The sequence below is a fragment of the Homo sapiens genome, chromosome 15 (genome assembly GCF_000001405.40).
Source record: "Homo sapiens chromosome 15, GRCh38.p14 Primary Assembly".
In the NCBI taxonomy this organism is placed as follows: Eukaryota; Metazoa; Chordata; class Mammalia; order Primates; family Hominidae; genus Homo; species Homo sapiens.
The window spans coordinates 91,615,941-91,631,174 of NC_000015.10; the positions used below are offsets into that span (position 1 = coordinate 91,615,941).

The 15,234-nt window shown below is 43.2% G+C and overlaps 1 annotated feature.

Moving 5' to 3' along the window:
• Positions 11,380 to 11,880: an enhancer, noted in NCBI's record as "H3K4me1 hESC enhancer chr15:92170550-92171050 (GRCh37/hg19 assembly coordinates)". NCBI's record gives its function as "activates a minimal SCP1, AML or CMV promoter by ChIP-STARR-seq in naive H9 embryonic stem cells {active_cell/tissue: H9 hESC(naive)}" and the evidence as "EXISTENCE:reporter gene assay evidence [ECO:0000049][PMID:30033119]".

The window sequence follows — 15,234 nt, forward strand, 5'->3', positions numbered from 1 at the left end:
GAAGTGGGAAAACAGAGAGTGGCACCTGGAAAACTAAGTAATAAGAATGCGCTTAGAGCAGGAGAGAGCAATCCACTGCCCCAAATGATCATGAATGGTGTAAGATGCATGTTGAAAATTGCTTGTTGGATTTGGAGAGAGGAGATAATTGGTATCCTTGAGAAGAACTATTTCAATGGTGAGGAGAGGATGAAAACCCAAATGACAATGGATTCAGGAGAGGATAAGATAAAAGGAGGCAGTGTCTTTCCTTTAAAAAGAGCATAAGAATGTGTGCAATAGCTGAAGAGGAATGTGGAGCAATAGCTGCAGAGGAATGTGGAGCAAGTGAGGACATTTTTTTTTTTGAGATGGAGTCTTGCTCTGTTGCCCAGGCTGAAGTGCAGTGGTGTGATCTCGGCTCACTGCAAGCTCTGCCTCCCGGGTTCATGCCATTCTCCTGCCTCAGCCTCCTGAGTAACTGGGACTACAGGTACCTGCCACCACGTCTGGCTAATTTTTTGTATTTTTAGTAGAGATGGGGTTTCACCGTGTTAGCCAGGATGGTCTCGATCCCCTGACCTCGCGATCTGCCTGCCTTGGCCTCCCAAAGTGCTAGGATAACAGGATCTTTTTTTTGAATATGAAAAAAGATGACATGTGTGTATGCTAATGAAAAGCAGTGAGGAAAGTTGATGACGCAAGGTAGAGAAGAAACAATAGGTAGATCGCCAAGGGTATACTTGGTCAGAGAAAGGAGAACAGGAAGTTGATCTATGGAAACAGGGAATGGGGTGTCTTTGCATGTGGGCAGAGAGATGTGGTGATGGGAATGTATAGGAGGTGCCTTCTTCATATACACCATGGAATACTATGCAGCCATAAAAAATGATGAGTTCATGTCCTCTGTAGGGACATGGATGAAATTGGAAATCATCATTCTCAGTAAACTATCGCAAGAACAAAAAACCAAACACTGCATATTCTCACACATAGGTGGGAATTGAACAATGAGAACACATGGATACAGGAAGGGGAACATCACACTCTGGGGACTGTTGTGGGGTAGGGGGAGGGGGGAGGGATAGCATTAGGAGATATACCTAATGCTAAATGACGAGTTAATGGGTGCAGCACACCAGCATGGCACATGTATACGTATGTAACTAACCTGAACATTGTGTACATGTACCCTAAAACTTAAAGTATAATAATAATAAAATTAAAAAACAAAAACAATTTAAAAAAAAGAAGGTGTCTTCTTGTATTAGTTCATTCTCACACTGCTATAAAAACTGCTTGAGTTCGTTCTCACACAACCCTGAGACTGGGCTGGGTAATTTATAAAGAAAAGAGGTTAAATCGGCTCACAGTTCTGTGGGCTGTACAGTTTTATGCTTCTGGGGAAGCCTCAGGAAACTTGCAGTCATGGCAGAAGGTAAAGGGGAAGCAGGCAAAGCCTTCACTTGGCTAGCAGGAGAGAGAGAGAGGGAAGGGGGAAGTGCTGCACACTTCCAAAACAACCAGATCTCATGAGAACTCACTCACTATCAAGAGACCAGCAAAGGGAAAATCCACCCCCATGATTCAATCACCTCCCACCGCCTCCCTCCCCCAAAACTAGGGATTACAATTCAACAATGAGATTTGGGTAGGGATGCAGAGCCAAACCATATCATTTCTGATGGTTTCTACTATGTGTAGTGAAATAGGAAGCAATGTGATTGTTTGAGAGTGAAAATGGGAGAAAAGATACTGAGTGGTTGAGAAGAAAGACATAGAAATAGCCAACCAGGCGAGGAGAAAAATAGACTGATTCGTGAAATGCTATGTAATTTGTGACTTCACTAAAAGTGCTTCAGGTTAGTGGTCAAGTATTCAAAGTTTGAGCAGTCGCATAACATACGCTGTGTTCAGCTGCAAACATGAAATAGGCATAATATTGAATTTAAACAAGGTTGAAGTTTTGTCAGGTGCTATGAGCCAAATATTGTCCTCCCCCAAATTCATATGTTTAAATCCTAAGCCCCAATGTGACTGTACTTAGAGATAGGGGTTTTAGGAGATAATTAAGGTTTAATGAGGTAATAAGGTGGGGTTCTAATCTTATAAAATTGGTGGTTTTATAAAAAAAAGAGAAGAAGAGAGAGATGTCTCTTTTTCTTTTCTTGTGCATGCAAGAGGAAAGGCCATGTAAAGATATAGAGATAAAGAGACCATCTGCAAGCCAGGAAGTGATCTCTCATCAGAAACCTACTTGCCCTACACCTGATGTTGGAATTCCCAACCTCCAGAATTATGAGAACCACATTTCTGTTGTTTAAGCCACAACACAACAAATTTCTGTTATTAAGGCAGCCTGGGCTGATGAAGAAAGGCATTGGGTGAGTAGAGTAAAGGAAAAGAGGGCCAAAGAAGTTGAGGGTATGCAAGAGAATAGTTATGACCATGAACCATGATTGGGTGAGAAGGGAAGTGATGACATGATATGGAGTGGAGGGTTGTCTAACTGTTGACTATGGTAAAAATCAGTGAACTATGGATCTAACTTGATTTGAGAGTCCAACACTCAAAGGGATAAAGTGGCAAGACAGGAGGTGATAGTCAGAAAGTGGGATGCTTTCTATTAAGATCATAGAAGTGGTATAGTCATTGATAGCAGCAAAGTCTAGGTTATGACCAAAGAAGTGGAAAGATGCATTATTCAAGAAGCAAAAATTCCAGGGTGTTAGAAAGATTGTCTTCATGAGTGTTGAAATAATCAAAGATTACAGTAACTACTGAATTTACAGCAAGTGTTGAAGTGAGTGGCCATAAGCCCATTGTAAATATCTTCAAAGAATAAGAAGACAAGTACCTGAGTAGAGAGACTTAATTGACTCCAAAAAGGTTAGGTAGTGAGTAGATGAGTCTGAACCCATGAGCTTCAAAGCTGAGGGTAATTAGAGAGAAGGGAGTAACAATGAAATGGCAATGAAGACAAAGGAGAATATATATTCATATACATGTAGGTATTCTTGGTCCACAGAGAATCAAATTTCAGTTGGAGCAAAATAGGAAGGGCACACTGAGAAGAGAGGCCAAAGATAAAGAGACATTGCTAATGGCTGCCCTGAGTTTCAGAAGCACAGATGAAGGGGGCCAGGTGCTAGGGGCAGGCAGTGGGGTCAGATTAGGGCATGTGAAAAGATTCATGGCGTTTGAGTCCAGATAATAGGAAACTACCTGAGAGTTTGGACGTATGAAGGCTGATGTATAATGGGAAAGGACATTATGGAATTCATTGTGATCCACTGGTTCTGTGTTTGACTCTGCTCTGAAGCCTGTTTTCTGCCCTTCTCTGGGTCTTGAGAGACTAGCCTCTTTTCAGGATGCACCATCTAGGCTGCTTTGTTCTCTAGCTTCCAGTTGTTTTTGACCAATGGGAGGCTCTAGCAGGTGATCAGAAGGCAGAAGTAAATGGTGATTTCCTCCCACTTCCTCTCTGCCTCTTGGAAATTCTGGCAATAGCTGAATTCTTCAAAGTTCAGCAATGTGGGCAGCCCCCCTTCACCTGCTCCAGCTCATGCCAGTCAAGGGCGGGAGATTCTTTCTCCCTGTGCTTGTCCCTTGGTAATTACTATCCCTTGTTGGTTCTTGTATCCCTGCTAATACCCAGCCCCTTCATTAACTTTCTCCAGCTGAGTGGCTCTTTTGATTCATGCCTGGACTCCAGTGGTCTTACCTTCTGCTAATAGGGCTACCACATGTGTGGGTGTGCCATGGACAGTTCTGCTTAACATAATTTCTACCAATGTAATTATTAACTGTACCCCCTTTCACTCTCAAAAGTCTTTGTTTTGATGAATTATAACATCCCCTGGTTCCATTTGTTTCTGTCTTAAATGCTTGAATTTGAATCTCTGGTTTACCTTCCCTCTGGCCAGGGTCTTCTTGGTCTCTTACAGTCTTTCCTGTGAAGAGAGAGGCTGGGTGTCTGGAGAGGGGTTGATGCGTTAGCTTGTGAAAGGGCGGAGGGAGTGGAAGAGCTCAACCTGGTCTTCATCTTTATTCTACCAACACAGTAAGCTAAAAGCAAATGAGAAAACAAAATTCTTCATGTTTATGTTTCATGTTTTTCCATGCTTAATCATTTATAATAAAGAGACACTTCCCTAGGGTCACTGGCTCATTAGCTTCTTATCTTCTCTTATTTTAAATACAAGTGAAATCACCCCTAATAGCAGCACAGGCAAAATGAGAAATGTCAAGTGGCTTTTCAAGCACAGGCAAAATGAGAAATGTCAAATGACCTTGGGCAAGTTAAACTAAGCTCTCATGGCCTCAATTTCCTCTTTTGTAAATGGGAGTACTAATTGTACTTGCCTAATAGGAGGGTTAGGATTAAATGAGTTAATATATAAAGATGTGAAATACTGCCTGACACCCATATTAAGCATTATGCAACGTGCTGTGCCACACACACACACACATACAGACACAGACACACATAGAGTGATGAGGAAAGGCAGCAGGCAAAGGCATGGGGGAATAGCTTTTTGTGTAGCAACGAGGAGAAAGTGACTCTGCTCTGAACACAGAACTGTGGCTCTGAGGTAATGTTATGCTATAGATCACTGTAGTTTGTCGAAACAAAGGGCTGTTTCCCGTCTAGAGAGGGTGAGCATTTCCTAGGAGAAGGGAGAAAAGGAAAGCTGTGCTTGCTTTAATTTGAATCTCTGCAGAGCAATCCACTTTTGATCTTCCAGAGACCAGCCACTGGCAAACACAGAACAGCTTCCAGCAGCCTGTATACATTTTTGGTTTTTGTCCATGCCAACAAAATAAATCATATCCGAGTTCATTTTTGTGATCTAACATAAATTATGGGGTGGTAGGGAGTGCAGAGAAGGGTACATCACTCTGTGTCCAACTAGAAGATATCATTACGTAATTTAAACAGAGGAATTGTAATGTAAGTAATCACTGGAGAGTGATGATAAAGATGGAAAGGAAACTGCTCAGTGCAGTGGCTCATGCCTGTAATCGCAGCACTTTGGGATGCCAGGGCTGGAGGACTGCTTGAGCCCAGGTGTTTGTGTCCAGCCTGGGCAACATAGTGAGACCTCGTCTCTACTAAAGTGGTGGCACATGCCTGTAGTTCCAGCTACTGGGGAGGCTGAGGAGGGAGGATCGCTTGAGCCCAGGAGTTCAAGCTTGCAGTGAGCTTACGATTGTGCTACTGCACTCCAGCTTGGGCAACAGTGAGATCCTGCCTCAAAAAAAAAGAGGAGGGCAGGGAGAGGAGAGAAAGAGAAAGAAAAGAAGGAAGGAAGGAAGGAAGACAAAAAGAGAGAGAGAGAGAAAGAAAGAAAGAAAGAACAGAAAGAACTGACTTTAGAGGCACCTGGAGCTGAGAGAGAATACCCCAAGAAGGACAAATCTGGAAGAAGTTCCCATCTTACTGGAGAAGGTGTGGCTGAAGCCAGTGCATAGCGAGGAAACTCAGTGGCTCACTGGAGCCAGAGCTGGTCTACAGTTGCCGGGCATGCAGGAACAGCCTGCCCCTGAGCCTGGTGGGCAGGCAGGCAGAGGGAGTGGGAGCCCTGTATGAGGTGCAGGTCCTAGAGTGCCTAGTGTCCCAAACAAGAGAGAAGGAAAAATACTCCAGAGCACAGGAGGGCTGCTGTTGGCAGTGGGCATGCAGGGGGAATTAAAGGACCCTCTGGTGGTGCATGCAAGACTGGAACACACAGTGCCCGAGTGGATAGCTCTGTGAGAAAAAATTCCCTGGGGCTAGTGGGCAGGCATGTATGCAGAGGGAATCAGTCAATCAGGGCACCACTGCAGACGGGAGCTGGAGAGGCCTCTCTCTCCAAGAATGCAGTGCAATTCCAGGTGGGACTATGGGATCACTTGCAGGTCAACCCTGCAGGTACTAGGAGACAGTTTTTATTCTCCTGTAATATTGTCTATCAGATGAGCTCTCCCGATTTTTTACAGCTGTTCCTTCTATAGCATTGTAATCCTGGTCACTGAAAATTCTCCTTGCCCATTGTCTGGTGCAATATTCCAGATGTAATAACACTAGTTAAAAAAATACCAAAAAAATTAGTTCCTATTCCTGGCACACTCTGGGAGAGTTTCATGAGCTTTTGCTAGCTTTTGTTGCAACTATACAAAGGTTATTTTAAAATTAATGAATTGTGTTCCAAATAATAACGATGGCTATGCAGTATATAATTGGGCTTGCTGATAGTTACTATTGTGGATATGTTCTTTCAATCTACCAGAAAGTATACTTTGCATTTTTATAATCACAATATTAAGGACTTGGCAATGTATTCCAAGGTAGCATTTCTATGAATGACATCCATTTTCTGTCTCATTACCAGGAAGGGTCATTAGGTAATCTTCTGATGGCACTGGGTAAATCTATTTCTTGAAATTATTCTCCTAGGATAAACAGATAAAGTCGTCATTTTGTTCGCTGTGGTGTCTCTAACTCTCAAAATGACTGATGGGCCATAATGATATTCCATGGGGATGGAGAAAACCAGCAGTGGGGTTGGTTTTTGGTTTCCTTAGCAACTCTCTCCTAGGGACACCATGGCAGCCACATTTATTCGAAGTTAGAGTTCTTGAAAAAAAAAAAAAAGACGGTATTACAATTGAGACTGCATATACCTAAATTAACTTTGCTCTAGAGAGATGCATTTTGCATTGCTATCATTTTTTAGTTGGTGTGCTGATTTCTCACTAGAAAAGCAAATTCTGCCCTCAAAAAAGTATTAGCAGGGAGGGGCGACTGCTAGAGTAGAAAAGATTAGCAGGGCTTCATAACTCGAATTCCAAAGAGAAAGTGGTTTTCTCTTAGCATTGTTTTCCAATATAGCCCTGAGGGGAACTAATTTAGAATCTAAGCAAGCCCCTTTGAATACATGGTCTCCTTAGTACCCTGCTATTCGGTCCAAGTAGAAATCACTTAGTCTTTCTCATTGTTTCTACAGAAAAGCTGGTCTCTGTGTGAGACTTATTATCATTTCCTGAACAAGGGTTTCTCAAGCTTGGCACCATTGATATTTTGGACTGGGTAATTCTTGTGGAGGACTGCCTTGTGTATTATAGGATGTTTAGCAGCATCTTTGTCTTCTACCTGCTAGATGCCAATCACGTCCCTTCCTCTACTGGGACGACCGTAAGTCTCCAGGCACTGGGAGACAAAACGGTCCCAGTTGAGATCTGTTGTCTCAAAGAAAGGTGTCATGTGATCCCATGAGTAACTCGCTGCCATTTTTCCTTTATCAGTCCTCATTTGCAGCTTCCTAAAGCAAATAACCCATGCTTCAAACACTTCAGAGTCCATGCCGAGAATGCCTGTTAAAGAGAGCTATATTATATTTACAAATAATATTATAAGTACTCTTATACATAAGGACATAACACTGATGTTCTGGGTAGCAGTGAGAAGAAATGATTTGATCCATCTTTTGGCCTCAATCACTTCTCATCTCTGCCATCACCATTCTCATGTCATCTCTGTCACACCCATATTTCTTTGTTTGTTTTTTGAGACAGAGTCTTGCTCTGTCACCCAGGCTGGAGTGCAGTGGCGTGATCTTTGCTCACCGCAACCTCTGCTTCCCCAGTTCAGGCAATTCTCAGCCTCCCGAGTAGCTGGGACTACAGGCATGCACCACCACACCAGGCTTATTTTTAGTAGACACGGGATTTCTCCGTGTTGGCCAGGCTGGTCTCGAACACCTGGCCTCAAGCAATCTACCCACCTCGGCCTCCCAAAGAGCTGAGATTACAGGCGTGAGCCACTGTGCCCAATCCCCACATTTTTCATAAGAGAACACACATCAGATAGAAGGCACTAGTTACCTTCCAGTCCCAAGACATGAAAACTAAAAAATAATAATAATAATAATGAAATAAAATAAGAGAAGGAGCCATGGGAGAATCTACTATGAATTTCACAGCATATAGTTTTGTAGAATATCTATTGATTCTACTTGTCCCTATAATTAACCACAAAATTAGATACATCTTGGGGGAGATTTATGTAACATTTTTAAGCCTAGAAGATAATTAGTTTTTTTTTCCAAAATCAACGATAGCAAAAATTCTAAATTCACAAAAGAAAATGTGCAGCTCTTTGTACTTCTGTCTGACCAAACTACATTTCTGGGAAGGTGTTAGTCTGTAAATCCTGTATATGGAGACTTTTTTCTGACTTCAAAAAATGATAGTGTTTTCTAGAACCTTTATAGTAAAGTTAAAATTGACTAGTACTGGAATTGAACCAATGCTTGAAAAATATGATGTGAACTAACACCACTGTCAGCCATGAGATACCCGGTTGTTTGCCAGTTGTGTTGGAAATGGTTTTAATTTTGGGATGGAGCTTATATCACAAGGGAGATGGCAAGACCATGGATTTGTATATCAGGCTGACTTGAATTTTGAATCCAACACCAGTACTCATTGTCTGTGTGATTTCAGGCACCTTATCTAACCCTTCTGAGCTTCAGCATCCTCATCTGTAAAGTAAGAGTAAGATACAATCATCCCAAGGTCGCTATAGAGATTACAGCTTGGAGACATTATAATGCACATAATGTCCCGAGCAGACTATCTGGCCTGAGGATGAGCCACTTCACTCTGGGATGGGGAGTCCAGGCTGGCAAGACTTCTGACACCCTCGGCCTTAGGCTAACACATCTAATGCAGTGTTCCAGGTCCTTATGCATGTGGCTGATCAGAATTTACATGTATACCTGAAAACCTAAAAATTACTGTCTACCTCAGAGGTTTCCAAATGATAATGTCAGCCTGTCTGAGTCATATATGCTGATGAGGATTCCTGGTTTATACCCTAGAGGCTGTGATACAGTGGATCTACAGTAGGACTTGGGAATCTGGCTTTAGAAAGCTCCCTGGAGGTGGTAATGGGTTCATTTCACAATCTAATGGGTTCCATGGGTGCATTCACTTTGTGAAAACTCACCAACTGATGCATTTTTCTGTATGCATGTGATATTATACATCAATCTAAGTTTAATTGAAAACAAAATATCTCCCCAAGTGATTCCAAGACACAGCCAGATTTGAGAGCCGCTGGTTTTCTATCTTTCCCAAACCACATTTAAAAGTCAAAAAATGGCCAGGCACACTGGGTCTTACCTATAATGCCAGCACTTTGAGAGACTGAGGCAGGCAAATCCCCATCTCTACAAATAATACAAATATTAGCCAGACGTGGTGGTGCACCTGTAGTCCCAGCTACTTGGGAGGCTGAGGTGGGAGGACAGCTTGAGCCCAGGAGGCAAAGGTTGCAGTGAACCAAGATGGTGCCGCTGCACTCCAGCCTGGGCAATAGAGCCAGACCTTGTCTCAATTTTTTTAGAAAAGTCAAAAATTATAAATATGCTGTTTTTCATCATCAATGAAAGAATTATTGGACCAACATGCTTGGCCAGCTGGAGTAGTCACTTCCCAAAGTTGCAGAAGAATATTTCTTGAAAACATATAGAAGTTATCTAGCCCGAGACTTTCATTTTATAGTTGAAGAAACTAGGATGTGGGAAAGGAAGATGATTCCCTTATGTGACCCAGCAAGGAAATGGCAAAGCAGACAGGTGTCCTGATGGCCCTTCCTGTCCTGCCGGTATAAAATGCGAGTCACTTGTAAAAATGTACCCACATTTCAAACACAGGACTAGATGCACAAGAATGTTGGCCTTGGTGACCTGGAGTCTCCCTGCTGATGGACAGCTTGGCCACAGCTGAATGCCTGAAGGTAAATGAATGATTCATGCCTTTCAGCATCTTACGCTCTGACCCACACCTTTTACTTCTATTAAACTTCAAGGCATAAAAAAGGCTCAAGAATAAAGCACTTTCAAGCCTCTGCTCAAGCGCTGTCCTTCACGGCAATTGTGTTTCTGAAATCAGAATAGCACTCCTCAATTGCTGGGCCTTCCGCTGAACTTTAAAGACAAAGACAATGAAAAGTGGATTGCTAATTGCTCTTGTCTTCATTGCTGCTCAACTAGAAATTAAAAGCCTTAACACTGTGGAGCCAAAGATTATAGATTGTGTACAAAGTGGCACACTTGGAGTTTTCTTCTTTTCAAGAGCAGTTAATTTTCTCCTAGGAACTCTCACGGCTCACTGTTCTCTCCAGCATGGAGTAACTGAAAGCAATTGCACATTTTAAGCTTTGTAAGTGGTATTTATTTGTAATTTTGCTTAAGAGATGAATCAGTTAAGACTTATACAAAACATCAATATGTCTAAACACAGGGTGTCCAGGGCAATTGCTGTGAATTGGACTAGTGGTTTAGTTCCAAATTTGCTAGTTTATTTACTTATTTCAGTTCTGAATAAATAGGGTAAGCTAAGTTCATAACGCTGCTGAGACATTTTTCCCCAGGATGATGGATAAGAAAGCAGATAGAGATACACTATCAATGTCTTAATCAGACATTAAACAGATGAAATATGTTAACCCTCTGGCTTCCTAACCAAAAATACTGGGATTTTTTTCCCCCAACCAATTGAAATGATGGGACAACTAATTCTGTCACTTGGGAAGGACATATTAAGAAAAAGGCTCACAATGGAGATAGATGGATGAACAGCAGTAAAGCTGAGGCTGCCACACTTGAGTCTGAAGTCAGTGGTGTAGAAGTTAAATAACTTCAGTTTGATCCTCATAGTTACCTTCGAGGTTGGAATAATATGCCCACTTTTCAGGTGAGAAAATTAAGGCACAGAAAGGCTGCCTCCATGACTCCCTCAGCTAAGGGGATGAAGAGAGGAGGGGGCCAGGGAAATCTCCAAAGAGCAGTGAGGCTTTTCACTGTTACCATGACTTGGTAAAACATCTGTCACCCTTCACAGAAAATCAGTTGTTTGAAGGCAGGTGTTGTCCATGATTCCTGTTTAAACATTTGGGGCCAGCCAGGTGCCGGAAGCACAGCAGGTTTGGGTCCACAGTCAGGGATGGCACTGGAGCTGCCTGCCTTTCCCCACCCCTGCCCTTGTCTCGGGCCTGTATCTGGCAGGAAGTGTTGACGGCTCTGCAGGTCCATGTGTCCAGTACGTTATACTCCGAGGCCCTGGGGGGTGCTGCTCTCCTCCATGTTGCACTCATTCAGTTAGTCCAGTTGGCCAGAGCAGGCCCCGTGGCCTTAACACTCCTCACCAGCCCTCTCCCTCTCCCTCCTCCTGGGCACACAGGCTAACGCACGCTTCCGTGTGCTGTACATTGAGGCCTATAGCAAGATGATCATCAAATCCCAAATACTTGATTTGGGCTTAGAAAGAGAGAAGGGCCCTTTCACATTGCCCTTGCCCACCTGGTCTTCCCTAGATTCCCAGAGAACTCATCAGCGGTGTTTGGGCCACAATCCCAGCTAACAATCATAACTAAAGGGTACTTTGGTTCTCCGTTTACTACTGTCCCTCGTGTGTTTCAACCCCTCAGAAGCAGAGTTTTGTCCATGAGGCAATCTGGTAACATCATAGCTCTACTGCAAACCACTGCCACTGGCTTCTACGCGATGATTTGTTAAAGAAAACAGAAGTGGCATCTCTGGCATTCATGTGCACAGCTTTAAAAAGCTCCAGTGGCCACACTGCCAAAGCTGAAGGCTCCAGGTGGGGCAGGCCTTTCGCAAGAGCTGATTGTGCTGTTTGCTGGGTGAGAGAAAACAGAGTGGGGTGTCACAGGCCCCGGGCCTGGCAGTGGGGCTCTGCAGGGAAGAACCAGTGAAGAGAAGGGTTGCAGAGATTGGCTATCTTCCCAATCTCTCATTCCTACAGCACCACAGTGATTTTAATTAAATACCCACCCTGACTCAGCAGCAGCTGACAAGGCTATTCGCAGAGCCAGGAGCCTGATAAATAGAGTGTTACTGGAGGTAGTCAAACTTCAAGGCCGCTGCTGGAGCCCGCCAGCCCTACTCTTCTTGCCTGCCAGCACGCAGTGCCAATGACAGCCCCGTCTTCCTCTCCTTCAGTGGGACTCCCCAGGGGCTGCTTGGAGGCAGGCAAGCTGCGCCTTCTCAAAACCTTGTGGAAGAGACATTTTCTAGACTCCATTGGTCTTGGCTGCAAGACCAAGTTTCCTTTAGTGAACCCTTAATGGGAAAGCTGCTTAATTACCCTGTAAAGGTTGCTTCTGGTTTTTGCATAGCTGTGGCTGGAAGCTGAATTCTGAGAGCTCTCTGCAGCCTCTGGAGGAAGACAGAAGAGAACAACTCTCAAAGAGAGGAATCCTGGGTTCACACACCGCAGTGCAGAGCCGTGGAAAGCCTTAGGCTTTGTGCCAGACCCACGTGGGTTCTGACAGGGACTTTTCTGTCCCTTACCAGGGTTCCTAGGCTACTTACTCAACTTCTCCACCCTCAGTCTTCTAATACGCAAAATAGGATTAATAATAATATCTGTTTTATAGGATGTTAGGAGTACTCACTGAGACATAAATGGCACAATCTAACCCTTCAATAAGTGGTGACTATCATTTCAATGCATATTATCCAGGTAGATGATGAATAAAACCAGAGCCTATGGCAGAGCTGCCAAGACAAAGCAGATATTTATAAGCACTTGCAATATTTCAGACATCGAGCTACATGGTTTGCACATCATTCTAGGCAACAGGGGAAAATAGTTTTTCTGTTCCCTCTCTCCAAGGAGAGGATTCAAGGTCTCAGTGAGGCTGCCTCAGGCTCTTCTGCTTCAACATGTAATGCAACTGTCTCGTAGTGTTTGCCGGATTCAACTATTATTCAACACATTTCTACCCCTTTCCTTCTCTACCTTTAGATGAGGAAATTATCTCCTTGCCCCTTAATGTTGAGCTTGGCCCTGTTGTTTTTTTGCCAATAGCATGTGAGCAGAAGTGACAGTGTCTGAGTCCTGAGTTTAGGCCTGAAGGCGCATGGTGAGTTTCTGATCACCATTCTGGAAGTTTCCGACATCTGCCGGAGTCACTGCCTCTCTAACCTGGGCCCCTAAATGGGACACATGGGGAAGATTCGCAGCCTGAAATAGATCTGCTATAACCAGCCTGCAAACCTGTGAGCAAAAATAAATGCCTAGTGCTATATGCCAAATGATTTTTGTAGCTATTTGTTATGCAGCAATAGCTGACTAATTCAGTCTCCTGGGGAACTGAGCAGAAAACAAGACAAAGATATGTCTATTCTGGGGTCTCTAATATATCTGGGGATTCTGCTGTTCCCCTGAACCCAAAATTCTACCAAGAAGAAAAATAACCACTATCTTTTTAGGAATAACTGACTCCCTTCTCTTTTTGCCCACATTAGGCTTAACAAAAGAGAAAATGGTTTAGCAACTATTCTTCTCCAGCTTTCCCATCTTACACCTGAACTTCTACATTTTATGATCTTTGACTCAACTTGGACAATTTCCCAATGAGGCAAAGGTGGCCATTACTAGCAGCCACAGAGAGAAGGGATTAGTACTTCAAACTATTACATAGCTGTGGAAAGGTTCAATGAATTGGGAAGGATAGAATAAGCGCTAAATAAATCCATGATTTCTTTTATTTATTTATTTATGAATGCAACAAATACTTATTGAGAACCTACTCTCAGGGTTACTGATAAAATACAGGATACCAAATTAAGTTTGAATTTCAGATGAACAGCAAATTTTTTAGTATAAATATGTCCCAAAATATTGCATGGGATATACCTTTACTAAAAATTATTTATTGTTTGTCTGAAATTCAAATATAACTGGGTGTCCTGTATTTTTTTTTTTTTTTTTTTTTTTGAGATGGAGTCTCGCCCTTTCGCCCAGGCTGGACTGCAGTGGTGCTATCTTGGCTCACTGCAAGCTCCGCCTCCTGGGTTCACGCCATTCTCCTGCCTCAGCCTCCCAAGTAGCTGGGACTACAGGTACCCGCCACCACTCCCGGCTAATTTTTTTTGTATTTTTAGTAGAGACGGGGTTTCACCATGTTAGCCAAGATGGTCTCGATCTCCTGACCTCGTGATCCGCCCACCTCGGCCTCCCAAAGTGCTGGAGGGTGTCCTGTATTTTTATTTGTGAAGTGTAACATCTCTACTACTACAATCCAGGTACTGTATTAGATACCGAAGACAGAGTAGTTAAGAATGGTGGGAAAGGTCTCAGCCCTCAAAATGCTTGAAATATCTTAGATAAGATATGCAATGCATACAAGATTTATGTATGTATAGGCAATATATAAAACATGAACGTAGACATGGATACAAATTACATTAAATCCTTTAATATGGGAAGCTGGGTGCTATGGGCTGCATAGGAGGAGAAGGTATTAGCACATGGACTGCCCCGCCTCAGCCCACACCTGTGTCTTCACAGATTGCTCCATATTCCGAGTGACGAAGGAGGAAAAAAATTCAAACCTGTTTTTTGGATGGCTCTACATGACGTTTTGGCAATTGCCAAAATTAGCTGATGCAATGTTAGCGCTTACTCAGGGTGGCCTTGAAAGAAAATATATGTATTAGTCTGTTTTCATACTCCTATAAAGACCTGCTCAACACTGGGTGATTTCTAAAGGAAAGAGGTTTAATTGACTCACAGTTCAGCATGGCTGGGGAGGCCTCGGGAAACTTAAAATCATGGCTGAGGGTGAAGACGAAGCAAGTACCTCCTTCACAAGGTGGTAGGAAGGAGAACAGCCAGCAAGGGAAATGCCAGATGCTTATAAAACCATCGGATCTCTTAAAAACTCACTATCATGAGAACAGCATGGGGGACACCACCCCCATGATATAATTACCTTCACCTGGTCTCTCCCTTGACACCTGGGGATTGTGAGGATTATAGGGATTACAACTCAAGATGAGATTTGGGTGGAAACACAAAGCCTAACCGTATCAACATAGAAGGCAAATTGGCTCAGCAAATAAATATAGCCACCCATCTACTTGGCCATTTTATTTAGGAGAGAGACTGTGATTAACGGACAATGGCTATAGTTTGGTCAGATTGTCAGAGACTCAGAAGAGGCAGTGCTGCAGCATTGCTGACAAGGACTTTTGGAGAAGTGTGTGTGGCTTTTGAAATGACCCTAGGATATAAAAATATCTGTATCTTATATGTGGGCCCAACAAAGCACTTCCACCACAGAGTGATTTCTTAATAATCAGGAGGGAAAACTGACCCAGTCTGGGAATATCTGTCAGTTTCCTTCCCTGGGCCTCCCAGGGCCAGCCCAGAGGGTGGGTGGATGGTGGCCGGAAT